The sequence below is a fragment of the Homo sapiens genome, chromosome 12 (genome assembly GCF_000001405.40).
Source record: "Homo sapiens chromosome 12, GRCh38.p14 Primary Assembly".
Classification (NCBI taxonomy): domain Eukaryota; kingdom Metazoa; phylum Chordata; class Mammalia; order Primates; family Hominidae; genus Homo; species Homo sapiens.
The window spans coordinates 118,338,226-118,364,469 of NC_000012.12; the positions used below are offsets into that span (position 1 = coordinate 118,338,226).

The following is a 26,244-nucleotide window of genomic DNA, read 5'->3' on the forward strand; positions in this document are numbered from 1 at the left end:
GATACTGAACAGAGACCCCACCTTCACAGATGTCACAATTGTGATTATATGGATGTTTTTGTGATTCTTTAACATATGTGTCCTTCACTAACAGAGGGAAGAGACAGCGACTGTTTTAATAACTCTATTTCCAGTACCAAACAGTGTCTGGAACATAGTACCTTTTAGATTAATACCTCCAAATGAATGAATGATTGCATCAATCAATCAATAGAAGGGATGATTACCACCAAATGGTTACAATACAGTACAAAAGGTGTTTATGAAAACAGAGGAAGTGGGCTGGGCTTGGTGGCTCAGGCCTGTAATCCCAGCACTTTGGGAGGCCGAGGTGGGCGGATCACAAGGTCAGGAGCTCGAGACCAGCCTGGCCAATGTGGTGAAACCCTGTCTCTACTAAAAATACAAAAATTAGCCAGGCGTGGTGGCCACGCGCCTGTAGTCCCAGCTACTCAGGAGGCTGAGGCAGGAGAATCACTTGAACCTGGGAGGCAGAGGTTGCAGTGAGCCAAGATCGTGCCACTGCACTGCAGTGTGGTCGACAGAGTGAGACTCCGTCTCAAAAAAAAAAAAAAAAAAAAAAAAAAAAGAGAAAACGGAGCAAATGAATAACTAGCCCTGTCTGAGGGAACTGGGGAGGCTTTAAAGATGTGATCTTTTAGTTGTGTCTTACAAGATAGGAGATGGGAAGTGGAGAAAAACCACTCCAAGCAAAGAGAATAGAACATTCAAATGCACAATGTGATAAGAAAAGCATTGCGTACCCTGGGACCAGCAAAGAGTGTGGTGTGCTGCTTGAGTTTATAGTTCTTTACTGAGAGAGGCAAAGGATGAAGCTAGAACTGTGGATGCTACAGGAAAGAGATTTGGACTTTCACATGAACAACGTGGTGACACTAGAGTTTTGAAGCCAGTGAATGATAATCAGATTTGTCACTTATTAAGTTAACTCTAAAGGCAGTGATAGGATTCACAGCAGGGAGAAGAGACAAGCTGAGAAACCAACACAAGAGTTGGAAGTAAATGAAAATTCTCCGTTCTTCATCATACTTTTTTTTTTTTTTTTTTTTTTTTTTGAGATGGAGTTTCGCTCTTGTTGCCCAGGCTGGAGTGCAATGGCGCGATCTCGGCTCACCGCAACCTCCGCCTCCAGCGTTCAGGCGATTCTCCTGCCTCAGCCTCAATTTTCCGGAAAACTCAATTCTCAAATACACTGCGTTAATGGAAGTTAAGTCTTCAAAACTACTCTCCTGAACGGTTTATAACATTGTTATCTTTAAATCTGTGTAATGAATCATATCAGAGGGCTTTGAAAGAGAGATATTTATTAAGCATTTTAGTTGCTCTTTTTTTTTTTCGAGACGGGGTCTTACTCTGTCGCCCAGGCTGGAATGCAGTGGTGCGATCTCGGCTCACTGCAACCTCCACCTCCCGGGTTCAAGCGATTCTGCCTCAGCCTCCCGAGTAGCTGGGACTACAGGCGCGCCACCATGCCCAGCTAATTTTTGTATTTTTAGTAGAGACGGGGTTTCACCATGTTGGCCAGGATAGTCCCGCCTCGGCTTCCCAAAGCGCTGGGATTACAGAAGTGAGCCACCGCGCCCGGCTTTAGTTGCTCTTTTCTATAGATTCTTCCAATACTTTATAGATTTTAATTTGAAATTCCTCTTTTCCCAACTTTTAAAAGTTTGAAATAATAAACTACTATTCATATTTCACAAAATCTTGCATGTTGTCAAATTATTAATATCTTAACCACCAAAAAACGATCACTTCCACATACCATTCCTGCTACTGAGGAATTACACTTATTTCTCTTAAAACACAAAATAACTATTTTAGCAAAAAATTAGATACAGCTTCAGTAACTAAGATATTGATCTCTGGAGAGAATAAACCATATGCCTGAAATATGGAGAGTGACTAAGTACTTTCCACATATTTCTGTGTATATATACATGTATTTGTTTGTGATAAGATGCAGATACAGTTGAATGTTAACTATAATGTAACAATAACTTGCCTGTGGACACCCCACCTTCCCTCCCAAGAGCAAAAAAATTTTTAATCAGGTTGGAAAGGGAAGAAAAGTAAAGGTGTTATATAAAATTCATTGTAGGCACAGTAAAGTGACTCCTTCTCCCCCTTGTTTTCTTTTGACATCATGTGACAATTTTAAGAGCTCTTTTCTCACAGCAGAGAATAAGGAATATGGATTATGAGAAGAAAAATTTTTTATGAAAAGAAAATGGGGTGGAATTTATTGTAGGTAATGCTTTTATGTCATTTTACAAGGAATAAAGACATCTAAATCATTTTTATAAACCTCATAGATGGTTATTAAATATTATTTTTTGGACTTTCTAATTATAGAAAATGTTAAATAAAAAAGTAACAGAAGAATATAATAAACTGCCTCATACCCAGCTTTAACAGTTATCAATTCATGGCCCACGTACTTCCCACAGCACTCCGTTATTTTGAAACAAATCCTAAATAAATCATTTCATCTATAAATATTCAGAATGTATGTCTAAAAGATAAGAACCATAAAAAAAAAAAAAAACATTGGCCGCACATGGTGGCTCATGCCTGTACTCCCAGTGCTTTGGGAGGCCAAGGAAGGAGGACTGCTTGAGCACAGGTAGTCAAGGCTGCAGTGAGCCACGATTACACCACTGCACGACAGCCTGGGCAGCAAGTGAGACCCTGTCTCAAAAGAACAAAAAGAAACAAAAAACATTAACTCTACCATTAATATATCTAATTTTTTTTTTTTTTTTGAGACAGAGTCTCACTCTGTTGCCCAGGCTGGAGTGCAGTGGCGCCATCTCAGCTGACTGCAACCTCTGCTGCCCTGCCCCAGGTTCAAGGTATTCTTGTTCGTCCTCAGCCTCCTGAGTAGCTGGGAGTACAGGCACCTGCCGCCATGCCTGGCTAATTTTTTGTATTTTTAGTAGAGACAGGGTTTCGCCATGTTGGCTAGACTGGTTTCAAACATCTGACCTCAAGTGATCCGCCTGCCTCGGCTTCCCAAAGTGCTGGGATTACAGGAGTGAGCCACAGCACCAGCCTAAATTTTTTTTTTTAACCTAAAAATTTAACGATAATTTTTTAATGCCATAAAATACAAGGTCAAATTTTCAAATCTCCTAAATGGTCCCATAAATTTCTTTTATTCCATTTTTTTCTATATGAGTCCAAATTAGGTCCATCTGTCCAAATTTTGTTTTAATGGCAATAATGCAATGCATTTTAAAAATTAAACTTAGAAGTTTTAATAAATAATTAAATCTAATATAAAAACCAGATTAAGTTGCCCTAGCAGGGCAACGTTGACTATGTGTACTACAAATGTATGGACACATGATCAAGTTAAGTACTTAGGAGAAAAGGAGGGGAGGGTTGACTTCATTTTTGCCTTTTATCAAAACACTTCCTTCATTCACAAGTTTTAATATTATTTTTATCAAGGAATTCCACTAAACCATGCTAAAAAAACCCTTCTGTGTTGGCTAGGTGTGGTGGCTAATGCCTGTAATAATCCCAGCACTTTGGGAGGCCTAGGCAGGTGGACTGCCTGAGCCCTGGAGTTGGAGAGCAGCCTGGGCAATATAGTGAAATCTAATGTCTACAAAAAATTAAAAAATTAACCAGGTGTGGTGGCACACCTTGTAGTTCCAGCTACTTGGGAGGCTGAGGCAGGAGGATGGCTTGAGCCCAGGAGGTCAAGGTTGCAGTGAGCTATGATTGTACCACTGCACTACTGCCTGGACAACAGAGTGAGACTCTGTCTCAAAAAACAAAAAACAAACCAAAAAATTAAAACCTTCTGTGATCTCTCATTTTTTTTTTAACATTTTCACTATTTTACTTTGACCAAATACTTTCTCCTTCATTTGAAATTAACTTGAAATCACAGGATTTCAGAGTTGGGAGCAATTATGTGGCTTCCTCACCTCAGAGTAGGCAGCTTTGGTATTACTACATTATTGGTGTTTCCAGTGAGAAAGCTACCACGAGGAAGCAATCTGCTCACAGCTACAGGCTGTGTTCTAATTTGTTAACAGATACTACTATGTAAGTATGATCAGGAAAAGTTTTATTAGCACAACATGAAATAGCCTTGACTTTGATCCTTTCATAAAGGTTGGTAAAGCTAATATTTCCTTTGACATGTTGAAAATACCTTGTTATACAAGTAATAAAATAGTACATTTCATTTAAAATTTGAAACAATAAAGGTTAGAAACGTGTCATCCACAGAAGCATGCAGAAATCAACATAGTTAAAGCCAGACTTTTTACTATGCCATGACAAGATAATATAAAATTGTGTACTATCAATAAATAAAACATGCAGTATAAAATATCTCATTGTACTCTGTTTTGGGACATTTGAAACCCCAGTTAGAAATTAAAAAGTCATCTGGGCTCTACAGCTCACACCTGAAATCCCAGCAATTTTCCCGGCTGAGGCAAGCAGATTGCTTGAGCTCAGGAGTTCGAGACCAGCCAGGGCAACATGGAGAAACCCTGTCTTTACAAAAAATACAAAAATTAGCCAGGCAAGGTAGCAGGTGCCTGTAGTCCCAGGTACTGGGGAGGCTGAGGCAGGAGGATCACTTGCATCTGGGAGGCCAAGGTTACAGTGAGTGGCGATCCTGCCATTGCACTCCAGCCTGGGCCACAGAGTAAGCCTCTGTCTGCTAAAAAAAAAAAAAAAAAAAAAAAGAGAGAGAGAGAGAGAGAGAAATGAAGAAGTCTTGCAATATTTGCATATCAACTTCAGATACTGTTTCTTAGGCTTAAAAAAAAAAACTATCAGTGGTTCCTGCTACATCTATTGGCAAATTCTAGATAGCATTTCATTGTGGAGTAAATTTATTAATCAAAACATAAATTTTTAATAGAAATTCGTGGCCAGGTGCGGTGGCTCATGCCTGCAATCCCAGCACTTTGGGAGGCTGAGATGGGCAGATCACCAGAGGTCAGGAGTTCAAGACCAGCCTGGCCAACATGGTGAAACCCTGTCTCTACAAAAATACAAAAATTAGCCAGGCATGATGGCGGGTGCCTGTAATCCTAGCTACTCAGGAGGGTGGGGTGGGAGAATCGCTTGAACCCAGAAGGCGGAGGTTACAGTGAGCTCAGATTGTGCCATTGCACTCCAGCCTAGGCGACAGAGTGAGTCCCTGTCTCAAAAAAAAAAAAAAAAAAGAAATTCATGAGTCTCAGTGCACTCTATGTAAGTGACCCTTTACATTAAACCTAGGAATCAGAATGCCCAGTAAAACAATTTAAGATACTAGTTGAGCATTTGATATGTGCAGGGAACTGTATGGGGTGCACCTGCAAACTGCAGAATAAAGTATCAGAATGATACCAAATTAAATCATTAATACATTTAGTTTAAAGGAAGTATTTAAAGTCAGCAATTTAAATATGAGAATTTTTGAGATTTAATTTTTGTTAACTCTATGAGTCTTATAAAAAATCCACTAGAGGCTGGGCGCGGTGGCTCACACCTGTAATCCCAGCACTTTGGGAGGCCGAGGCAGGTGGATCACGAGGTCAGGAGATCGAGACCATCCTGGCTAACATGGTGAAACCCTGTCTCTACTAAAAATACAAAAAATTAGCCGGGCATGGTGGCAGATGCCTGTAGTCCCAGCTACTCAGGAGGCTGAGGCAGGAGAATGGCATGAACCTAGGAGGTGGAGCTTGCAGTGAGCTGAGATGGTGCCACTGCACTCCAGCCTGGGGGACAGAGCGAGACTGTCTAAAAAAAAAAAAAATCCACTAGAATTTATTTGTTCCAAGCTCTACAAGATTAAGAAAAGAAACAAAACCCTGTGTGGATTTTACAAATTTAGAACATTGGCAATGGTCTGACTTCAATGCTGTTTCTTTTATTGTTTAGATTGACTTCATTCATTTTCTCCCAGAGCCCCTAATGTATTGAGTCCTTTATCTTGTATGCAGTCTGAATTTTTTTTCCTGATTTACCAAAATACAAAGATTCAAGCTCTTGATTATTTTAAAACAAGACAAAAGCATGTGTCATAGTAAATACATTCCACCTGATTCAGGTAAGGCAATTACAGAGTTGATTTGTTCAGTTACTATACAAAAGTGCAGGTGTAAATCTCTGTTAATATACAAAACAGATGACCACATTGTAACACATCCATTCATCTTGCCTGGCTCACAGGGGAGAAGCAGTGTTCACATCAACAATACCTATTCATATTTTGAGAATGATGGAAATCCCACCTAAGAAATGTGGTATCAACAATACCACTTTACAGCATATTCAATAACGCAAAAAATACATGGCAATTGGAACTTTTTGATTTCACAGTCCTGTTTTTTAACACTTGCATTTGCCTCTCTCTCCACTGTCTCAATTCATATTTGAAACGAATGGGAAAAATTTTGCAGAAGTAAAAAAAATAAATAAATAAGGCTTCCTCTTAACTGCAAAATAAATCATGACCAATTAATAATATCACTGTTAAAAATACTATTAACAGTGTTATGGCTTTAAAAATAATAGTACTTTATTTTCTGATAATTAATAACATTTATTTTTATTTTTCTCATGCTTTTTCAAAGTATGGTGCCCCCTGTTATATTTACACTTTATTTCTTTAGTCCTTTATTGAATCACCCAGCATGTCTTTGGTTAACTTCCTCTTGTTAATACCCATGCCCCTCTTCACCTTGTCAATGCTAATTAGAACCTTAATCTGTTTTTCCAAGGTGTTAGCCAGTTAAAGGATCACTAGCAAATTTCATGAGGTTAGTCTACTGAATCACTTACTTATTAAGCAAAGTGTTAAAAAACCAATCTTACTGAACCATATCCACTTTCTGGAAGCAGCTTCCACTAAAATTGTATTTATATTTAGTGTAGTGACATAAATTTGAAGTAAGACTTTTACTAAGATGGGAATGAAATGTCTATTTTTTAAGGCCAATCATGATAGAAACTTAAAAAATGATACAAAGTAGAATAGATTAAATTAAGGAGGCTGAAATATAGTCTTCAAAATGGACAAGAAATATTCATTAATTAAATGCCTGTAATAACCGGTTACTTTGGACAAATTCAACATTTCTCCTTTCTTAAGGATGATCTCAAAAGGGTTCATAACCAAGAAGTTTGAATGCAAAACGAACAAAATAAACAAATCCTGAACAGGCAGGAATAGAAGAGGAAGGAAGGCTGGTGATAGTCTAAGAGAAGACTTGTAGCAGGAGCTCCTGTAGAGCAGATGAAGACCAAGGAAAAAGCCATGTGTTTGGGAAGATAAGTGCATGCTTTCAAGCCCTGGCTGCTCAAAAGAAATGTCAGACACTAGCTTATGTTCTGGTGGGTGGAGAAAAAAACAGACAGTTTTCAAGCCATGAGTGCCTTTGTCAGGACATACAATGTAATAATGCTGCTCACCCATCCTGCTTGAAAAAAAAAAATGAACTCATGCTCCTGGAAACCAAGTTCTTATGGTCTACCTGATGTAGAATCTCCTTATAACTGGAAAGAAACCAAGAGTTGTATTGGGGACAGAGATATTGATTAAGGAGCGACTTAGAACACTTTGTAAGAATAAAGACTAAGAAAAAAAATCCACTTTGAAAAATCCATGCAACAATGCATGCAGGCTTGAAAATGAAGTGGAAGTTATATTTAGAGACAGATGAATATTGATACGGTAATGATATACTGTTAAAGTAAAAGAAATAAAGCAGCATAGAAAACAATATATGTACTATAACTGTCCTAATTACTATTCCTAAAAATACTTTACCTAAAAAAAATTCTGAAAGGCTGTCAAAATATATCTAGGTATAGAATATAAATTTTATTTTGTTCTAACTACTCACATGTATTTTTTATTTATTAAAGCAAAAAACATGTATTACTTGTATAGCTATTAAAAATATATGAAAAGAACTATCTTAGGTCAGGGACTTCTCACCACTTTGTTGAGAAGAGGAGAAAGGGTTAAGGGTAATGAAGGAGGCTTAGCTTCCACATCTACTCATTTACTAATAAGTCTTCTAGTTGGAAACTCCCAACATCAGGACTGATAAAGAACTGATTTGGCAACATCTTAAAACAGGGAAATTATAATTTCAAAGTGACATATATTTGTCATTACTTTCAATGAAATGAATAATTGTACAGTGTGCCTGCTAAGCTATAGAACATACTACTAATAAATTTCTATTCTATAGAAAATACAAAATATTGTTTTGGGGCATCTTTTAGAAAGAATAAAACATTTATACAAAAATTTCAAACTGAAGGTTATAAACTAATTTTTAAACAAAATACTGTACTTGAGTTCCCACTATTATTAGCACTCAGAATACACAGCTTGAATAATTAGCAGAAATGTGGACTCAACAGGCCTAACTGGTAGTCTATATAATTACATCACATAGCTATGTTTTGGCAGGCAAATGCATTTAAAAGCATAGGCAAAGATATGTTCAATGCATAGCTAAAAGAATGAAACATTTATACAGAATGGAAAGTTTAATCTTTCTACATGTGCCTGAGATAATGCAAGGTATTTTCTAAATCTAACTTGTCTATCTGTAGTTACTATTCTATCTGTAGGTACTACTAATAAGCAATAATAGTATAAATTTTACAGTGAAGCCATTATGTAAGCTTCCTCAATTTAAAAATTTCTCTGTATATGCATTCGTCTTCCTCCTTCAGTTTTCCTTTATCAGGCCAAGCACTTCTGTCCAACAATAGGCCTTTTTTCTTTTTTTAGACCAGGTCTCGCTCTGTCACCCAGGCTAGAGTGCGGTGGCACGATCATGATCCTGGCTCACTGAAGCCTTGACTGCCCGTGCTCAAGTGATCCTCCACCTCAGCCTCCTGAGTAGCTGGGACCGCAGACACGTGTCACCACACCCAGCTAATTTTTTTAAAAAAATTATCATTTGTAGAGATGAGATCTCACTTTATTGCCCAGGCTAGGCTTGAACTCCTGGGCTCTGGCAATCCTTCTACTTAGGCCTCCCCAAGTGCTGGGATTACAGGTGTGAGCCACAAGGCCCAGTCCAAATGACCTCTTAATTCTTTATCCTACTACCTTCTCACTTCATTAATGCACCCCTCTCATTTTTCTTCAATCCGCAGTTGCTTCCTCTCTCCCAACTCCTCCTTTTGGCCTACAGCATGCTCAAGGTATCATTTATTGAGGGGAGGAGGGGGAGCTTTTCCTGACAGGAAGATGCTCTGGCAACTCACTAGCTCCAGCCTCCTCATTTCCAAGTCCAACAGGAGTCCTCTCAGGTCATATCCTTCCATAACCTCTATGCCGCATCTCCTTACAAGGTTGTTTCTTGGTTTGTGTGGCACTGTCCTCTAGGAGTTTCTTTCCAACCCACCTCTTCTGGCTTATCCTACTTCTCTCAACCTCTTAACACAAAATTCTGTGCTGAGCTTCCCCTCTCTACCCTGCACTTTCTCTCATTTATCTGATTCACTCCTGTTCTTTTAGCTCTCTATGCCAAGCCGTTAATGCCCTCAATAAATCTCTCACAAGCTGCTTTTCTCCTTTTCCATTGAGGCTGTCCTAGTTCCAGAACCTCACTACTAGTCCAAGTTCTCATTCTCAATTTCTTTCTTCCTTTAAGTCATTCTACAAACTATTGATAGAGTAATCTTTCAAAGGCTCTGATTGCATCAGTCTTTTCTATTCAAATATCTTAAATGGTTCCTCACTATCTACTGTTCAAAGTTCAAACCTCCTGTTATGTGGCTCTAAGGCTTTTGATTTGCCACTATCCCTGAATATCCTACATTTTGTTCACTATGTCTGTAGGCCAAAAAATACATTGATTATGTCCACCACGCCTGCTGAAAAGGTATCCACAATTCAAGACTCAGTTCAAACTCCATCTCCATGTTACCCCATCTCCCTAGTACGGAAGTAATCTCTTCCTTCTTCATGTATAGAAAGTACCTGACAGCTTCTTGCTGACCTTGATGTCATTCTATTTTGCCTTTAAAGGACATGGACCTTTCTTAATTCCATTAATTGAATATGACTTGCATCAGGATTCTTATTCGCTTTCCATAGTGCCTTCAATGGAGGAGGCAGTGTTAAACACAGACTATTCATCTGGAATTAAAGACTACTTGTCCAGCCTCTGAGCTAAAGTCTAAGTCTGCTTCTGCCTTATTTCTTTCTTTCTTTCTTTTTTTTTTTTTTGAGACGGAGTCTCGCTCTGTCACCCAGGCTGGAGTGCAGTGGCACAATCTTGGCTCACTGCAAGCTCTGCCTCCCGGGCTCACGCCATTCTCCTGCCTCAACTACCCGAGTAGCTCGGACTACAGGTGCCCGCCACCACGCCTGGCTAATTTTTTGTATTTTTAGTAGAGACAGGGTTTCACCATGTTAGCCAGAATGGTCTCGATCTCCTGACCTCTTGATCCACCCGTCTCAGCCTCCCAAAGTGATGGGATTACAGGCGTGAGCCACTGCGCCCAGCCTCTGCCTTATTTCTGAAGAAAAGATATGGGATAAGAATTAGCTAAATACACAATATTATGTGTGTTTTTGTGAGGGGGGAGAAAAAAAATAATTTCTTTTTTTTTTTTTTTTTTTTGAGAACGGGTCTCACTCTTGTTGCCCGGGTCTCACTCTTGTTGCCCGGGTCTCACTCTTGTTGCCCAGGCTGGAGTGCAGTGGCGCGTTCTTGGCCCACTGCAACCTCTGCCTCCCAGGCGGTTCAAGCAATTCTCTTGCCTCAGGCTCTTGAGTAGCTGGGATTACAGGTGCTCACCACCACACCCAGCTAATTTTTGTATTTTTAGTAGAGTTGGGGTTTCACCATGTTGCCCAGGCTGGTCTCAAACTCCTGACCTCAGGTGACCGCCCACCTTGGCCTCCCAAAGTGCTGGGATTACAGGCATGAGCCACCGCGCTGGCTGATTCAAATCATTTCAAAGCATTTTCATTTTAATTATTTTACAAAAAGTAATTATGAGCAATTCCACTCTAGGTATATACCCAAGAGAATGGAAAAATATGTTCATTTAAAAACTTGTATATTTACTGTCACAGAAACATTATTAATATCCAAAAAGTAGAAGCAGCCAAAATATCCATCAACTCTTGAATAATCAGAATGTGGCACACAGATATAATGAAATATTATTTGGCCATAAAAAGGAATCATCACTGATGTACGCTACAATGTGGATGAATCTTGAAACATTATGCTAAGTGAAGATGTCAGACACAAAAAGACACATATTGTCTTGTTCCAGTTATACAAAATGTCCAGAGTAGGCAAATCCATAGAGACAGAAAGTAAATTAGTGCTTACCAGGGGTTGGGGATAATTGAGAGTGGCTGCTAACAGGTACAAAATTCTTTTTGGTGTAATGAAAATGTTCTAGAGTTAGATAGTGGTGAGGTTAGATATTGTAACAACATCACAAATATACTAAAAACCTGAATTTCATAATTTAAAAAGGTAAGTTTTATATCATAAAATTTTATCTAAATTAAAAAAAACACAAAAAACAGTTATTAGTTTCATGCCCCAAATGACAGCTTCAATTTGTGGTATAAAGGAAAAGAGCTCTGACCTTTCAATCAGCAAATCTAGGTTTCAGCCAAGTCACTTAACTCTCTTACTTAACTGTGGCGTCTTTAGGATGCAGCTGAACTTCTCTAAGCCTTCATAACCTCATCTACAAAGTGAGGATATAATGCCTTACAAAGTCACTGTGAGACTCACAATATAACATAAAATTATTATTTCAAATGAATAAAATCTGATAGTTATTTTGCATGCCTAAAATGATTTTTTAAAAATCCTAAACTGTATTGAATAGCCCATAACTTCACTGAATAGTCCACAACTTTTTATTGTTGCCATGTTATCTAACCAGCTTTTGTATTGTCATATATGAATGACATCTTGGGGCCACGTAGCACTTATCCTGTAGGCACTAATAGAACAGTACAGAGTTATTTAATTCCAATCTTCACAATGAGGGGTACATGGCCCAACAGTTATAAACACAGGCATAGAACTGAGTTTAAGTCCAGGTTCTGCCACAGATCTTGAACAAACCACCTAACCTCTCTGAACATCAGTATACACCCCTGTAAAGTCTATGTAAGAATATGTATGTGAATCTACACAAATATCCATTATAGAGGTTCGTTGAGATACTCATTATATAAAGCATGTATTGTAATACCTAGCACCTAACAAGCACTCATTCAGCAATTGTTATTGTTGTTGTCCATCCTATGGAGTAACAAGTTTAAATGACGGGTCTTCAGCTACAAGACAAATTTGAGGCCAGGCATGGTGACTCACGCCTGTAATCCCAGCACTTTGGGAGGCTGAGGCAGGTGGATCACCTTAGGTCAGGAGTTCGAGACCAGCTTGGCCAACATGGTGAAACTCTGTCTCTACTAAAAATACAAAAAATTAGCTGGGTATGGTGGTGGGCACCTGTAATCCCAGCTACTCGGGAGGCTGAGGCAGGAGAATCGCTTGAACCTGGGAGGTGGAGGTTGCAGTGAGCTGAGGTCGTGCCATTGTACTCCAGCCTGGGCAACAAGACCAAAACTCCGTCTCAAAAAAAAAAAAAAGAAAAGAAAAAGAAAAAAAAAAGGCCAGGTGTGGTGGTTCATGCCTGTAATCCCAGCACTTTGGGAGGCTGAGGCAGGCGGATCACTTGAGGTCAGGACTTTGAGACCACCCTGGCCAACGTGGTGAAACCCCATCTCTACAAAAAATACAAAAATTGGCCAGGCGTGGTGGTGCATGCCTGTAATCCCAGCTACTTGGGAGGCTGAGGCACGAGAATCACTTGAACCCGGGAAGTGGAGGCTGCAGTGAACTGAGATCACAGCACTGCACTCCAGCCTAGGTGACAGAATAAAACTCTGTCTCAAGAAAATAAATTAAAAAAAAATCTGAGGCATAACTAGGAATAGAGAAGTAGTTTGTATACTTATTTAGGTAACTAGAACAGGGGATGATTCAGTGCCCTTCCTATGTGTTTTTCTAGCATCACATGGGTCTCTGTAGCATTGCTGTACCTAAATAGTTTGTTTCCTTATTAGTTAAGGAAGAAACATAGTCCTATTCAGCACTAGTCCAAGGCCTGACCCGAGTAGATGCTCAGTAAATGTTTACTGAGTACATAAATGGACAAAGAGTATGGTGTTACTGGCTGCATCTATAGCCAAGCATCAAAACAAACTCAAAGCATTAACTAGACATTTTCAAATATCCATACTCTTACATATATAAAACATTTTGCATTTTAAAAGTTTTCATTTAGGTGTCCTATAAGCTTCTTGGCATCAATACAAAGGAAAGTATATATTATTTAAAAAGATAAGAGACCGATTATAACACCCAATTGAAGTAATAAATATTCCTATCTTTAAGCGTCTGAATATATACTTTGTCTTGCCTAATGGAATTCCCTAATAGTTTTTGCAGGGCACACCTTCACAGAGCCTAACCTTGTAACACAGCAGGCACTTAATTGTACTTAGGTTACTTAAATAATTGGATAAAAATGCTTCTTGGTTGTGTAAAATTAAATGATTATATTTAATCTATAGTTCTTTTTTTTTTTTTTTTTTTTTTTTTTAGTGGCGGAGTCTCCCTCTTTCACCCAGGCCAGACTGCAGTGGCGCTATCTTGGCTCACTCCAAGCTCCGCCTCCCGGGTTCATGCCATTCTCCTGCCTCAGCCTCCCGAGTAGCTGGGATTACAGGCACCCGCCACCGCGCCTGGCTAATTTTTTTATTTTTAGTAGAGATGGGGTTTCACCGTGTTAGCCAAGATGGTCTCGATCTCCTGACCTCGTGGTCCGCCCACCTCGGCCTCCCAAAGTGCTGGGATTACAGGCGTGAGCCACCGCGCCCGGCCTAATCTATAGTTCTATAGGATGGAAAGCTGTTATTATCAAAACTATATCTCTCCAACGGCAGCTGGCTATATCACTTTAATAGCAGCACTTTGGGAGGCCAAGGCAGGTGGATCATGAGGTCAGGTGTTCGACACCAGCCTGACCAACATGGTGAAACCCTGTCTCTACTAAAAATACAAGAATTAGCCAGGCATGGTGGCATGCACCTGTAATCCCAGCTACTCAGGAGGCTGAGGTAGGGAGAATCGCTTGAACCTGGGAGGCAGAGGTTGCAGTGAGCCAAGATTGCGCCACTGCACTCTAGCCTGGGCGACACAGCGAGACTCTGTCTCAAAAAAAAAAAAATCATATATATACACATATATATACACACATATATAGTTTCTCATAAAGAAAAGCAAACATATCAATCTGTAACCAATTACAAAACTGTCTTCATTTGTCTCACATTTTTCTGTAAATGAGGTGACAGACTGGACCCAAATAGGAAAAATACTCAGGTCCCTTCAACATTACTGTATTACCAGGGTTACTGATCTTATCTTATTTATTTTTTGAGACAGAGTCTCACTCTGTTGCCCAGGCTGAAGTGCTGTGGCACGATCTTGGCTCACTGCAACTTCCACCACTGGGATTCAAGCAATTCTCCTGCCTCAGCCTCCCAAGTAGCTGGGATTACAGGTGTGTGCCACCATGCCTGGCTAGTTTTGTATTTTTAGTAGAGACAAGGTTTCACTATGTTGGCCAGGCTGGTCTCGAACTCCTGACCTCAGGTGATCCATTTACCTTGACCTCCCAAAGTGTTGGGATTACAGGAGTGAGCCACTGTGCCCGGCCTGAGTTGACTTTAGATAAGCATGATGAAATACATTTACTATTTTTTCTTTCTCTTCAAAATCAGTTTCCTCCGCCTTATGCTAGGAACTGTGAAAGATTTAGCTAAAAGATATGGTGTTTGTATTCAAAATGTTTACATTAGTGAAGATACAAGAGTGTGTGATAGAAGACACTACACAGATTTTTGTTCATTGGTTTGCTAAATTAAAAATCACCCGAGAATTTGCAGGAAAATAGTAGGAGTAGGAAAAGCATCTAACAGGTAGTACACTTCACACAGGATCTTGAAGGAATGGTAAAATCTGCGTAGGCAGCGAGAAGCTCCAAGCAAGGGCTTTTTGGGTGAAGTAAAAGGCAGAGACTTGAATGAGTTTGGTGTGTTTGAGAGACCGACTTCAATAGAACAGAAAGAATAGGCCCAAGATCATAGGAAATGAAGCTGGATAAATAGTGTACAGGCAAATCAGAAAGGGTGTCGAAAGTCAAGCAGAAGAAGTTAGATTTAACATAGTGGAAAACAGGGAACCACTGAAGCTCTCTGAAAAGGGAGTGACATGCTAGAAGTAGCATTTAAAGAAGATTCATCATGATGAGTTGGGAAAAAGAGACTGAAATGAAGGCAGGCCCCTGTGGTAGTCCAGGAACGAGGCAACAAGGGTCTGAATGGGAAAGGTGCACGAGGTGCAGTGCATTTTACCAGCGATGTAATGAGCCTTGAGACTATTATGTTAGGAATTCTCAGAAACAAGGAAAAACATGGAATAAGCCAGGAGCTGGCTAGGAGACAAAGGGGTTACATTACAGATTAACACCCTGAAATTTTAAACACTAAAAGTATATTCACAACGGCTAAACATTTTTTTTTTCAAGTATCCTATAAGGAGTTTCCTTGTTTGGTTTAGTGAATTGACTGCGGGTGTCCCCTAAATTTCACATCTGTTTTGCTAACACATCCCTATGAAAATCTGCTTATGTAAGAATTAGTTTTAATATTTTCAATACGTCAACAAAGTTAACTGACCCAATACAAGATATGAACCCTAGAGTCTCAGATTGTGAGAACGGAAAACATTCTTTATGCAGTAGTTGTCCTTATGTGTGGGGAATATGTTCTAGAACATCCAGTGGATTTATGAAACCATAGATAGTATGGAACTCTATATATACTATTTCCTTTCCTATATATACATAACTACAATGAAGCTTAATTTATAAATTAGCCACAATACTCTTGCACTTTGGGGATGTTATTAAGTAAAATCAAGGTTAGTTGAACACAAGCACTGAGGTACCACAACAGTCAATCTGATAACCAAGACAACCAGCTACTAAGTGACGAATAGGCACGTAGCATCTACAGTGTGGATAGGCTGGATAAAGGGATAATTCATTTCCCTGGCTAGAAGGAGTAGGTCAGCAGGAGATTTCATCACACTACTCAAAAGGGTAAGCAATTTAAAACTCATGAATGGGGCCAGGCACAGTGGCTCATGCCTGTAATCCCAGCACTTTGGGAGGCCAAGGCCAGAGGATCACTTGAGGCCAGACCGGATTTGGCTATGTCCCCACCCAAATCTCATCTTGAATTGTAGCTCCCACAATTCCCAAGCATTGTGGGAGGAACTCGGTGGGAGGTGAGTGAATCATGGGGTGGGTCTTTCCCGTGCTGTTCTTGTGATACAGTCTCATGAGATCTGATGGTTTTATCAGGGGGAGTTTCTCTGCACAAGCTCTCTTTTTTGCCTGCTGCCATCCATGTAAGACATGACTTGCTCCTCCTTGCCTTCTGCCATGATTGTGAGGCCTCCCAAGCCATGTGGAACTGTGAGTCCATTAAACCTCTTTCCTGTATAAATTACCCAGCCTCAGATGTCTTTATTAGCAGCGTGAAAACAGACTAATACATCCTGTCTCTGCAATTTTTTTTTTTAATTAGCTATCTGGGAGGCCAAGGCAGGAGGGTCCCTTGAGTCTAGGAGTTTGAGGCTGAGGCTGTGGTGAGCTATGATCGCACCACTGCACTCCAGACTAGGTGGCAAAGTGAGACTCTGTCCCAAAATAAATAAATAAAATAAAACTCATGAATGGTTTATTTCTGCAATTTTCCACTTTAGTATTTTTAGACCACAGTTCACCATGAGTAATTAAAACCACAGAAAGCAAGACAGGATAAGAGGGGACTATTGTATTCAAATATACATGTAAATATCTATGTTCTATTGTCACCAAAACAAAAAAAATTTTTTTAGCTGATCTAAAATCTTAAGACACAGTCCTAACTTTATCTGAGTGGTGTACTCAGAAGAAAACAAACACACTCTGCTGAGAAAATAACATTTTAAGAAATCAACACTTCACCATGTTGTTTCCCGGGCTGTTCCATCAAATTGGGAGGAAATGATCTCAATTGAAACAAAATGAAAAATGTTACTAAAGTGAAATTTGTCAGATTATATAATCATTTTGATGAATAATTATTAAATCTACAGTCGATCCCTGTCTCCTTCTTCCTATCCCCTTGGAATGGGTAGTACACAATGTGGTAAGAGGAAGGGCATAAATAAGATCGGTGGATTTCATCCCTGTGTTCCCTGGTACTTTCTAAATACTTCTATTATTATAACGCTGATTTTATTATCTATACATAATGCCATGTGTTGTTGTATCTCTTTCCATGATCACTTTCTGGTGAAGCTATGAATGAGAACTGAAATATCCAAAAATGGCAAAAATAAGCATAACTATTCTTGCACACTGAGCTCTTCCTTTACAGTGTGTGGCCAAAATTATGCTTTTCATACATTATTTCATTTAATCCTCACAACAATCCTGTGAAGTAGGTATTATAATTATATCAATTTTACAGAAGAAGAAACTGAGGTTTCGGGGAGGTTAAGGGATTTGTGCAAAGTCACAAAGCTAGTAGGTGGCAGACATGTTTATCTGCCACACTCTTATTAAACATTAAACTATCCTGCCAATCCCAAACCTATGTGACAGAAACTGAAAGTAAGAAATACCAGAAACCTGGATATGCTGCTGATCATGTAAAAGAATTAGGGAAGGGCATCAATTCTAAGAATTGTGTGATACAAATGATAGCTTCCTTGACTCACTTCCAACCTTTCCTTGAACTGAAAACATGGCATTCCATTCCTGAAGGAGAATGGGACACTACTATGCACTGGGAATGTAACTGTCCCCTCCCCTCTTTTAGTAGGATAACTTGCATTACTATTTGATGGTATTGACAGGATCTCAATATCTTCTCAATTTGGTCACTTTCTTTTTTTTTTTTTTTTTTTTTTGAGATGGAGTCCGGCTCTGTCGCTCAGGTTGGAGTGCAGTGGCACAATCTCAGCTCACCGCAACCTCCGCCTCCCAGGTTCAAGTGATTCTCATGTCTCAGCCTTCCGAGTAACTGGGATTACAGACTTACACCACCACGCCCAGCTAATTTTTGTATTTTCAGTAGAGACGGGGCTTCACCATGTTGGCCAGGGTGGTCTCAAATTCCTGGCCTCAAGTGATATTCCAACTTCGGCCTCCCAAAGTGCTGGGATTACAGGCGTCAGCAACAATGCCCGGCCTCAATTTGGTCACATTAAAAAAAAATGATATGGCCACGTGCAGTGGCTCACACCTGTAATCCCAGAGTTTTGGGAGGCAGAGGCAGGAGGATCTCTTGAGGCCAGGATTTTGAGACCAACCTAGGCAACACAGCAAGACTCCCTCTTTACAAAAAAAAAGAAACTTTAAAAAATTAGCCAGGCATGGTGGCACATGCCTGTAGTCTCGGCTACTGGGGAGGCTGAGGCAGGAGGATCACTTGAGCTCAGGAGTTCAAGGCAGCAGTGAGCTATGACTGTGCCACTGCACACCAACCTGGGTGACAGGGTGAGACTCTGTCTCTAAATAAACAAGCAAGCTACTACTTAGATCAGCCAGTTTAAGACTAACTAGGTTGGTTGGTAACATAAAAATGATTTCTTAATAGAATATCCAGTGACCCGAGCAACTTGCATAACTCCTACCAGTGAAACTAACCTTTAAAAAATGTTCTCAGTACATGAAATGTATTCATAAGATACTTCTAAAAATAACTCCCCACTGTAATTCCCTCCTTATGCATCTGGGCAGAGATGTCATATTTCCTTCACAAAGCTTCCTTTTATGTTGCAACAGTAAGAATCTCAATTTCAAGCTAAACCAGAACAATCTAGAACTATAAACTTTTTCATAAGACATGATTATTTGTATTAGTATGCTATATTTTATATAAATTGTCCACATGTGATGGGACATCCTTACGTTTTTAACTCAGAACTATTTTTAACTGGAAAACAAAGCAGCTGTAGTTTTAAATTCTGTCATCCTTCCCCCATCTTTTTTCTGCTAACACGTGGCTTTCCACAAAAGGGTCAGTGTGATCTTTGCAGATCAGAGATAAGGAATATAGCCACAATAAACTAGAGAAGGTTAAGCACGTTTTAAGTAATTCAGGAGTTTAAAACTTGTCATCTATGTATAAAACAAGCAAACAGTTATAAGTGGTTAAATAAACATGTACAAATTAATAGGATGGAGTTTGTAACTTCTACTTTTCCCTTCAACGAGTGTCATTTTGGCAGGCAGCCATATAATCTGCAATAATCTGTCATCACGAAGCACCACCCACTTCCTCTGCTTCACCCCCATCCAAGCTATGACTGGGATATTTCTGGACTGCTAATATAACATTCAGACAATCATAAAAGGCCTCTCAATGAAAGCTGAAATTAACATAATTTGTACTTTTAAGTTTTAAACATGCATAAATCTTAAGGAAAAAGAACGTGCTATATGACATCACATTTTAAAGATTATTTGACACTTAAAATTTCCTTTTTCATACATTAGAAAGAATAGCGCCCCCATTAGTAATATCCACTGCAATGCTTCTTAAATGAAAACATCCTATGCATAATTATAAGACTTAATTTACACATTTAACCTGCACAGTATTATGAGTTTGGATATGACAGTCACATGTTAGCCTATGCATTTTATTTAAACCTCATTCCAAGAGACTAGTGAAGTTGGTAAAGAAATTATTAAGGTAGCTTTCCTGATTTATAACATATTTTGCATTAACTTTTTAACATACAAATGATGACATGTCAAAAAAAAAGTATCTGTTTTCCTACTTAAACTAAATTCATTTTATGGACTATAGTAGTCACATAAATTGTTAATAACCGAATGGCCAACATGTTTTATTTTTATACTTTCATAAGTAGCTAACTCTATGTATTAAATTGATTTAAAAAGTTACAAAACAAAATAAATGTGACCAAACCCTCTGACTTTTCTGTCTCTAAATTTGGTATTACATTCAAGAAACAGCTCTGCTTTCTATACTATTTTCCCTTTCTGTGAATGAAGAAAAATAGGAGGCAGGCTTGTTACTTTTAAAGATCTCTAGGATGAATAGTGTGCCACTTGGAGTAGCTTGATTGTAAAATATTGTTTTAAAGTAATAATATCATCCATTAGCATAAACTGTATCCATTTAAGATGACCTTCAGTATATTTCAAGTTTTTTATTTAAAAGACTCTTCCGACAAAATATTGGTATTGTATTTCATGCTCAGCATTTACCTTAGTTATTCAGGAGAAAGAAAAAAATTAAATTTTTTTGAAAAATTGCCACTTTTATTTGTGGAATATCAAACTACAAATTAAATTAAATAGAGCACATGAATCCAATGACTTTTGAGGTTGATTACTCTCAGCTGGACTTTGAGCTAAGGCCATAAATATTTCACATGAAATTCAACAGAGTTTACTCATTTTTTTTAACAGTGTTTAGACACAAACCATATTTATAATCAACATTAAATGTAAAATAAAATACCAATGACACTTACTCACAGTAGATCTCAAACGCATGTCCTATATTTCCAGTTCAACATACTAAAGACTTTAAAAATTCCGTATTTAGCTACAACAATCAATACGATTTCCCCAGAGATGGCTTCATTTAAAAAACTGCCTCTTCCTCACAGGAAAGAAAAAACTGAACTTAAGTTATAAGAACACCCCAGGCTATCAGCACCTTCATCCCGAGAAAGGAAGTTATTACAGACACTTAGTTTTTTAAGTGAGGCTTAAAGAGAGTACTTCCTGGTCAGACAGCTAACGTCAACAGCAATTTATACAGCTTTGCATTTCGACATTTTAGAAAGAACTCTCTAAAAATTTTTCCAGAATTTTCCCCCCAGTACCTACAAAAGAGGAAAACTTGCTCAAGCTAATCTTATGTAAAAATCTATGAAAGTCTATCAATGCTCACCGTTATGGTATCAAGTAGATATCAGAACTGGTTACTATTATTGATAATTATATCAGCTTAAGTTTTAATTATTTTACACTTAGGCACCCTCCACTCTCCCTGCATACTAGAGTAAGGTTTCAAGGAACACAATATTAGAAAGAAAAGAACCAATTTACTTACAGGAGGACAACTCACCATCTCTTGATAATGAAGAAAAGGCAACCATTCTCATTTTAATTTGCAAATTGAAAGTTAATTCTCTTTTAAACTTATGTATTTAAAAATCTTCAAGAAACTTTGTACAATACTAAAAAGGAACTGCAGATAAAAACAGCGTGATCTGGGTGCCACACATTACTATCAGTATTGCAAGCTGAAGTATTTCCTGTTACAACGCCCATTGGTTCCCACAGGTGCAAGTGCCTATGGGTGGTGGCAATTCACCCTTCCTTTTGTAAGAGATCCACTAAAGGAGATTTAAGATTGGCACAAGCAATGCTAGGAACTATTCGAACAGAACTACCTTGGGCTAATACCGAGAGACACCCAAACTAGGATGATTGTGAATTGATGATTACCTAATTCAAAAAAGCTGGAGAAAATTTATTTCAATACTTTCATTATTTTTCTAAGATGCGCGATTATTAAGAATGTATGTGGTCAGGCGTGGTGGCTCACACCTGTAATCCCAGCACTTTGGGAGGCCGAGGCAGGCGGATCACCTGAGGTTAGGAGTTCAACACCGGCCTGGCCAACATGGTGAAACCCAGTCTCTACTAAAAATACAAAAATGGCTGGGCGTGGTGGCAGGAGGCCGTAATCTCAGGTACTCGGGAGGCTGAGGCAGGAGAATCACTTGAACCCAGGAGGCGGAGGCTGCAGTGAGCCAAGATTGTACCACTGCACTCCAGCCTGGGCGACAGAGTGAGACTGTCTCAAAAGAAAAAAAAAAAAAAGTATGGCCGGGCACGGTGGCTCACGCCTGTAATTCCAGCACTTTGGGAGGCTGAGGCAGGCGGATCACGAGGTCAGGAGATCGACACCATCCTGGCTAACATGGTGAAACCTCATCTCTACTAAAAATACAAAAAAATTAGCCGGGCATGGTGGTGGGCACCTGTAGTTCCAGCTACTCGGGAGGCTGAGGCAGGAGAATGGCGTGAACCAGGAAGGCGGAGCTTGCAGTGAGCCAAGATCGCGCCACTGGACTCCAGCCCGGGCGACACAGCGAGACTCCGTCTCAAAAAAAAAAAAAAAAAAAAAGTATGTGATTTCATTCAACAAATGCTTACTAATTGGCTTCTATGTGCAGGGCACTATTCTAGGCACTAGGAATACAATAATGAACAAAATAAAGTCCCTGTGGTCATTCATATAATATTTAGTGGACTTTTGAGCATTTCATATATAATGAGGAAACTTCCATAAAGGCAGAGATTAAGAAATTTGTATGGAAATTTGGAAACTCATTTGTAGTTAGTGTAGTTACTAAGAAGCATTGTAATAAGTGGTCACCAATTTAAACCTAAACAGAACTTTTCCAGAAACTGTCACACAAAAGTAGTGTTCTTTATGTTTTAATTGTTTTTAAAAGGCCATGTTGGAGGTAAAGGCATATGTTCCAGCAGGGAAAAGGAAAAACTTCTCACTATGAGTCATCAGTGACTAAGTTATTTTAATTCAGGCTTAAAACACATTTCAAACCCAATTACTTGTATATGCAGAAAACTGATAACAACCCTAAATTAACATCAGAAGCTTGATTTGACCAATTTTCAGGGTCAATATCAGCATCGAAGCAAAACAAGTGAAATTTTTTCTCAAGGGATAATGCCCCCGTACTGAATTTTATTATTATTTTGGTCTTATTAGACTTTAATGCCTAAAAGCCATGTCATCAAGCTTCCACTAGACTTCGTTACAGTGAACAGAGTTTTCTTAGGTTTTAGCCACAATGAGATACAGCCATCGTGGATGTATGGTGTGGTAGTAGGAATGGCTTTCATTTGTATTCAATGAAATAAAAATATAGTAAATTCAAGGCTGCTCCAAGAAAAATGTAAAACCCCGAGAGTAGAATTTGCAGATGAATACTACTCTTCCAAACTATCATTTACTTCCTTAGGATTTTTTTTTCTTTTTTTTTTTTTGAGATGGAGTCTGACTCTGTCACCCAGGCTGGAGTGCAGTGGCACGATCTTGGATCACTGCAACCTCCGCCTCCTGGGTTCAAGCGATTCTCATGCCTCAGCCTCCAGAGTAGCTGGGATTACAGGCATGCACCACCACATCCAGCTAATTTTTGTATTTTTAGTAGAGACGGGGGTTTCACCATGTTGGCCAGGCTGGTCTTGAACTCCTGACCTCAAGTGATCCACCTGCCTCAGCCTCCCAAAGTGGTGGGATTACAGGTGTGAGCCACTACACCTGGCTAGGATTTTATTTCCTTATTATTTTTAAAATTTCAACTTTTATTTTAGATACGGGGGTACATGCACAGGTTTGTTACATGGGAATATTGCACGATGTTGAGGTTTGGGGTATGGATCCCATCACCCAGGTAGTGAGCATAGTCAAACTATTAATAAAAATAATAATAATAAAAAAACATGCTGGTGAGGCTTCAGAGAAAGGGGACTGCTTATACACTGATGGTGCGAATGTAAATTAGTCCAGCCACTGTGGAAAGCAGTCTGGAGACTTCCTTATTTTTAAAATAACGAAACCTTTTTAGCCAACAAATCGGAGGAACTCTCAAAGTCAAATTTCTCTATTTAGTCAGTCAAGAAATATTTATTGTGCAACTACTAACTGCTAGGCACTGTTCTATGAGTTGGAGATACAGCAATTAATAAAACAAAAATCTTTGCTTTCATAGACCCTAAAATTTAGGGGTGTCCAATCTTTTGGCTTCCCTGGGCCATAATGAAAGACGAAGAATTGTCTTGGGCCACACATAAAATACACCAACACTAACAATAGCTGATGGGCTAAAAAAAAAAAAAAAAAAAGGTCCATGCATAAATCTCACATAAATCTCACAATGTTTTAAGAAAGTTTACAAATTTGTGTTGTGCCCCATTCAAAGCCATCCTGGGGTGCATGCAGCCTGCGGGCTATGGGTTGGACAAGTTTGCACGTAGGAATATAAGACAAACAAGCAAAAAATTCGGCATGTGAGGTGGTAAGTGCTATGGAGAAGGATACGGTAGGAAAGATGGAACAATAAGTTTATTTGTTCACAGTCGCAAATTGCCTAGATCACACAGTAAGAAAAATTGCTTTGGAAGACCAGAGTGCTAAGCCTCCCTCTCCCAGGCTCTACCTCTGACTCAAGTGAACATCCACCTTCTGTTGAAAATGACAATCTTATTTCAATTGTTGCTAATAGCTAGAGAAAGGAAAACAGGCCAGGTGTGCAGCGGCTCACATCTGTAATCCCAGAACTTTGGAAGGCCAAGGTAGATGGATCGCCTGAGGTCAGGAGTTCGAGACCAGCCTGCCCAACATGGCAAAACCCCGTCTCTACTAAAAACACAAAACACTAGCTGGGTGTAGTGGCATGCGCCTGTAATCCCAGCTACTTGGGAGGCTGAGGCAGGAGAATTGCTTGAACCTGGGAGGCGGAGGTGGCAGTGAGCCAGGATTGCACCACTGCACTCCAGCCTGGGCAACAGAGAAAGACTCCGTATCAAAAAAAAAAAAAAAAAAAAAAAAAAGAAAAGAAAGAAAGAGACAGGAAAACAAACTTTCAAATACCAATCTGATAAAAATACCACTTAAGGAAATAAAATAACAAATATGAAACACTGAGTCAAAGGCCACTTTAGAGAATATTATCAATGTTAAAAACGAACATACAAGTATCCATATACTTGCTACCACTGGTATCAGATTTACCAACTGTCAGGGTCACAAGTGAATTCTTCTCTTAGGAATGCACATTATCTTCACCAGCAGCAATAATTATATCTTACAATTGCACACAGAATTGTATGTATAATTATATTTAAATATTATTTTGAACCTAAAGTATTTAAATTTCCATACAATTTGACAATTAAGATACTAGTTGCAAGACACTAGGTTAGATGTATAAGACACTGTCCTTTTAAAATTAAGAATATGGATATCTAAGAAGGATAAGATAAGTACAAATCCTACAATGTAATATTAGAGAGTATTATGTAATAAGAAAAAGTACAAATCAAGTACTTAGGGAATTCAAAGCAGAGAGTAGCAAGGAGGATAATCAGAGAAGGACTCATGAAAGATGGCATTAGAGGTAGTTATGGAAAATGAGGAACAGAAGGCATACTACGTAAAAGAAATGGAACAAAATCCTGAATGGGGCACATCACTAAGCGCTTGGCTAGTTAAGAAGACCAGTCTGGTCAAGGCAGTGTGTGTGTGTGTGTGTGTGTGTGTGTGAGAGAGAGAGAGAGAGAGAGACAGACAGACAGACACACAGACACACACAAACAGGCTGATAGGAGCCTAAAAACAGGTTTACAGGCCAGGCGCGGTGGCTCATGCCTGTAATCCCAACAGTTTGGGAGGCTGAGGTGGGCGGATCACCTGAGTTTGGGAGTTTGAGACCAGCCTGACCAACATGGAGAAACCTTGTCTCTACTAAAAATACAAAATTAGCTGGGCATGGTGACGCATGCCTGTAATCCCAGTTACGCCTATAATCCCAGTTACTCGGGAGGCTGAGGCAGAATTGCTTGAACCCGGGAGGCAGAGGTTGCAGTGAGTGGAGATGGCGCCATTGCACTCCAGCCTGGGCAACAAGAGCAAAACTCCATCTCAAAAAACAAACAAACAAACAAATAAAACAGGTTTATAAATCTGTACTGAGTTTGGTAGGTCATGGGGAATTACTAAAGGTTTTGAACATGTGAGTGTCAAAATCAGAGCCGTACTTTAGGGAGAATAAAAGAGTAACAGTGTATCTAGGAAGAATGAAAACGAAAAGGAGACTGGAAAATTGTCATGGCTGTCCTTCCCTTGCACCTTATTAAGGCCCTCGTAAGATCCTTTGACCACTGAGAGGTATAAAGTGGAAGATGTTCTGAGTTGAAAAACCAGATCTAGGTCATAGTGGTCTGGTTTACCATGGTCTCTGTGACCTTTGGAAGTCA

General features: G+C 39.2%; 1 protein-coding gene across 8 annotated transcripts in view, besides 1 other annotated feature; it reads right to left on the bottom strand.

Annotated features, from left to right (window-relative positions):
• The window catches only part of TAOK3 (TAO kinase 3), a 223,107-nt gene that overhangs the window by 188,425 nt on the left and 8,438 nt on the right, over window positions 1-26,244 (bottom strand). Inside the window, exon 1 of one of the 8 annotated variants that reach the window (NM_001346489.2) lies at window positions 21,281-21,480. The exons of the other annotated variants lie outside the window; for them this stretch is intronic. The gene's annotated coding sequence lies outside the window, so the exon portion shown is untranslated. Of the gene's footprint in view, window positions 1-21,280; window positions 21,481-26,244 lie in introns of those variants that run through there. 8 annotated transcript variants of the gene reach the window in all.
• Window positions 2,961-3,188: a silencer, noted in NCBI's record as "fragment chr12:118778991-118779218 (GRCh37/hg19 assembly coordinates)". NCBI's record gives its function as "represses an EF-1alpha promoter that drives an FKBP-Casp9 reporter gene in an ReSE screen in K562 erythroleukemia cells {active_cell/tissue: K562}" and the evidence as "EXISTENCE:reporter gene assay evidence [ECO:0000049][PMID:32094911]".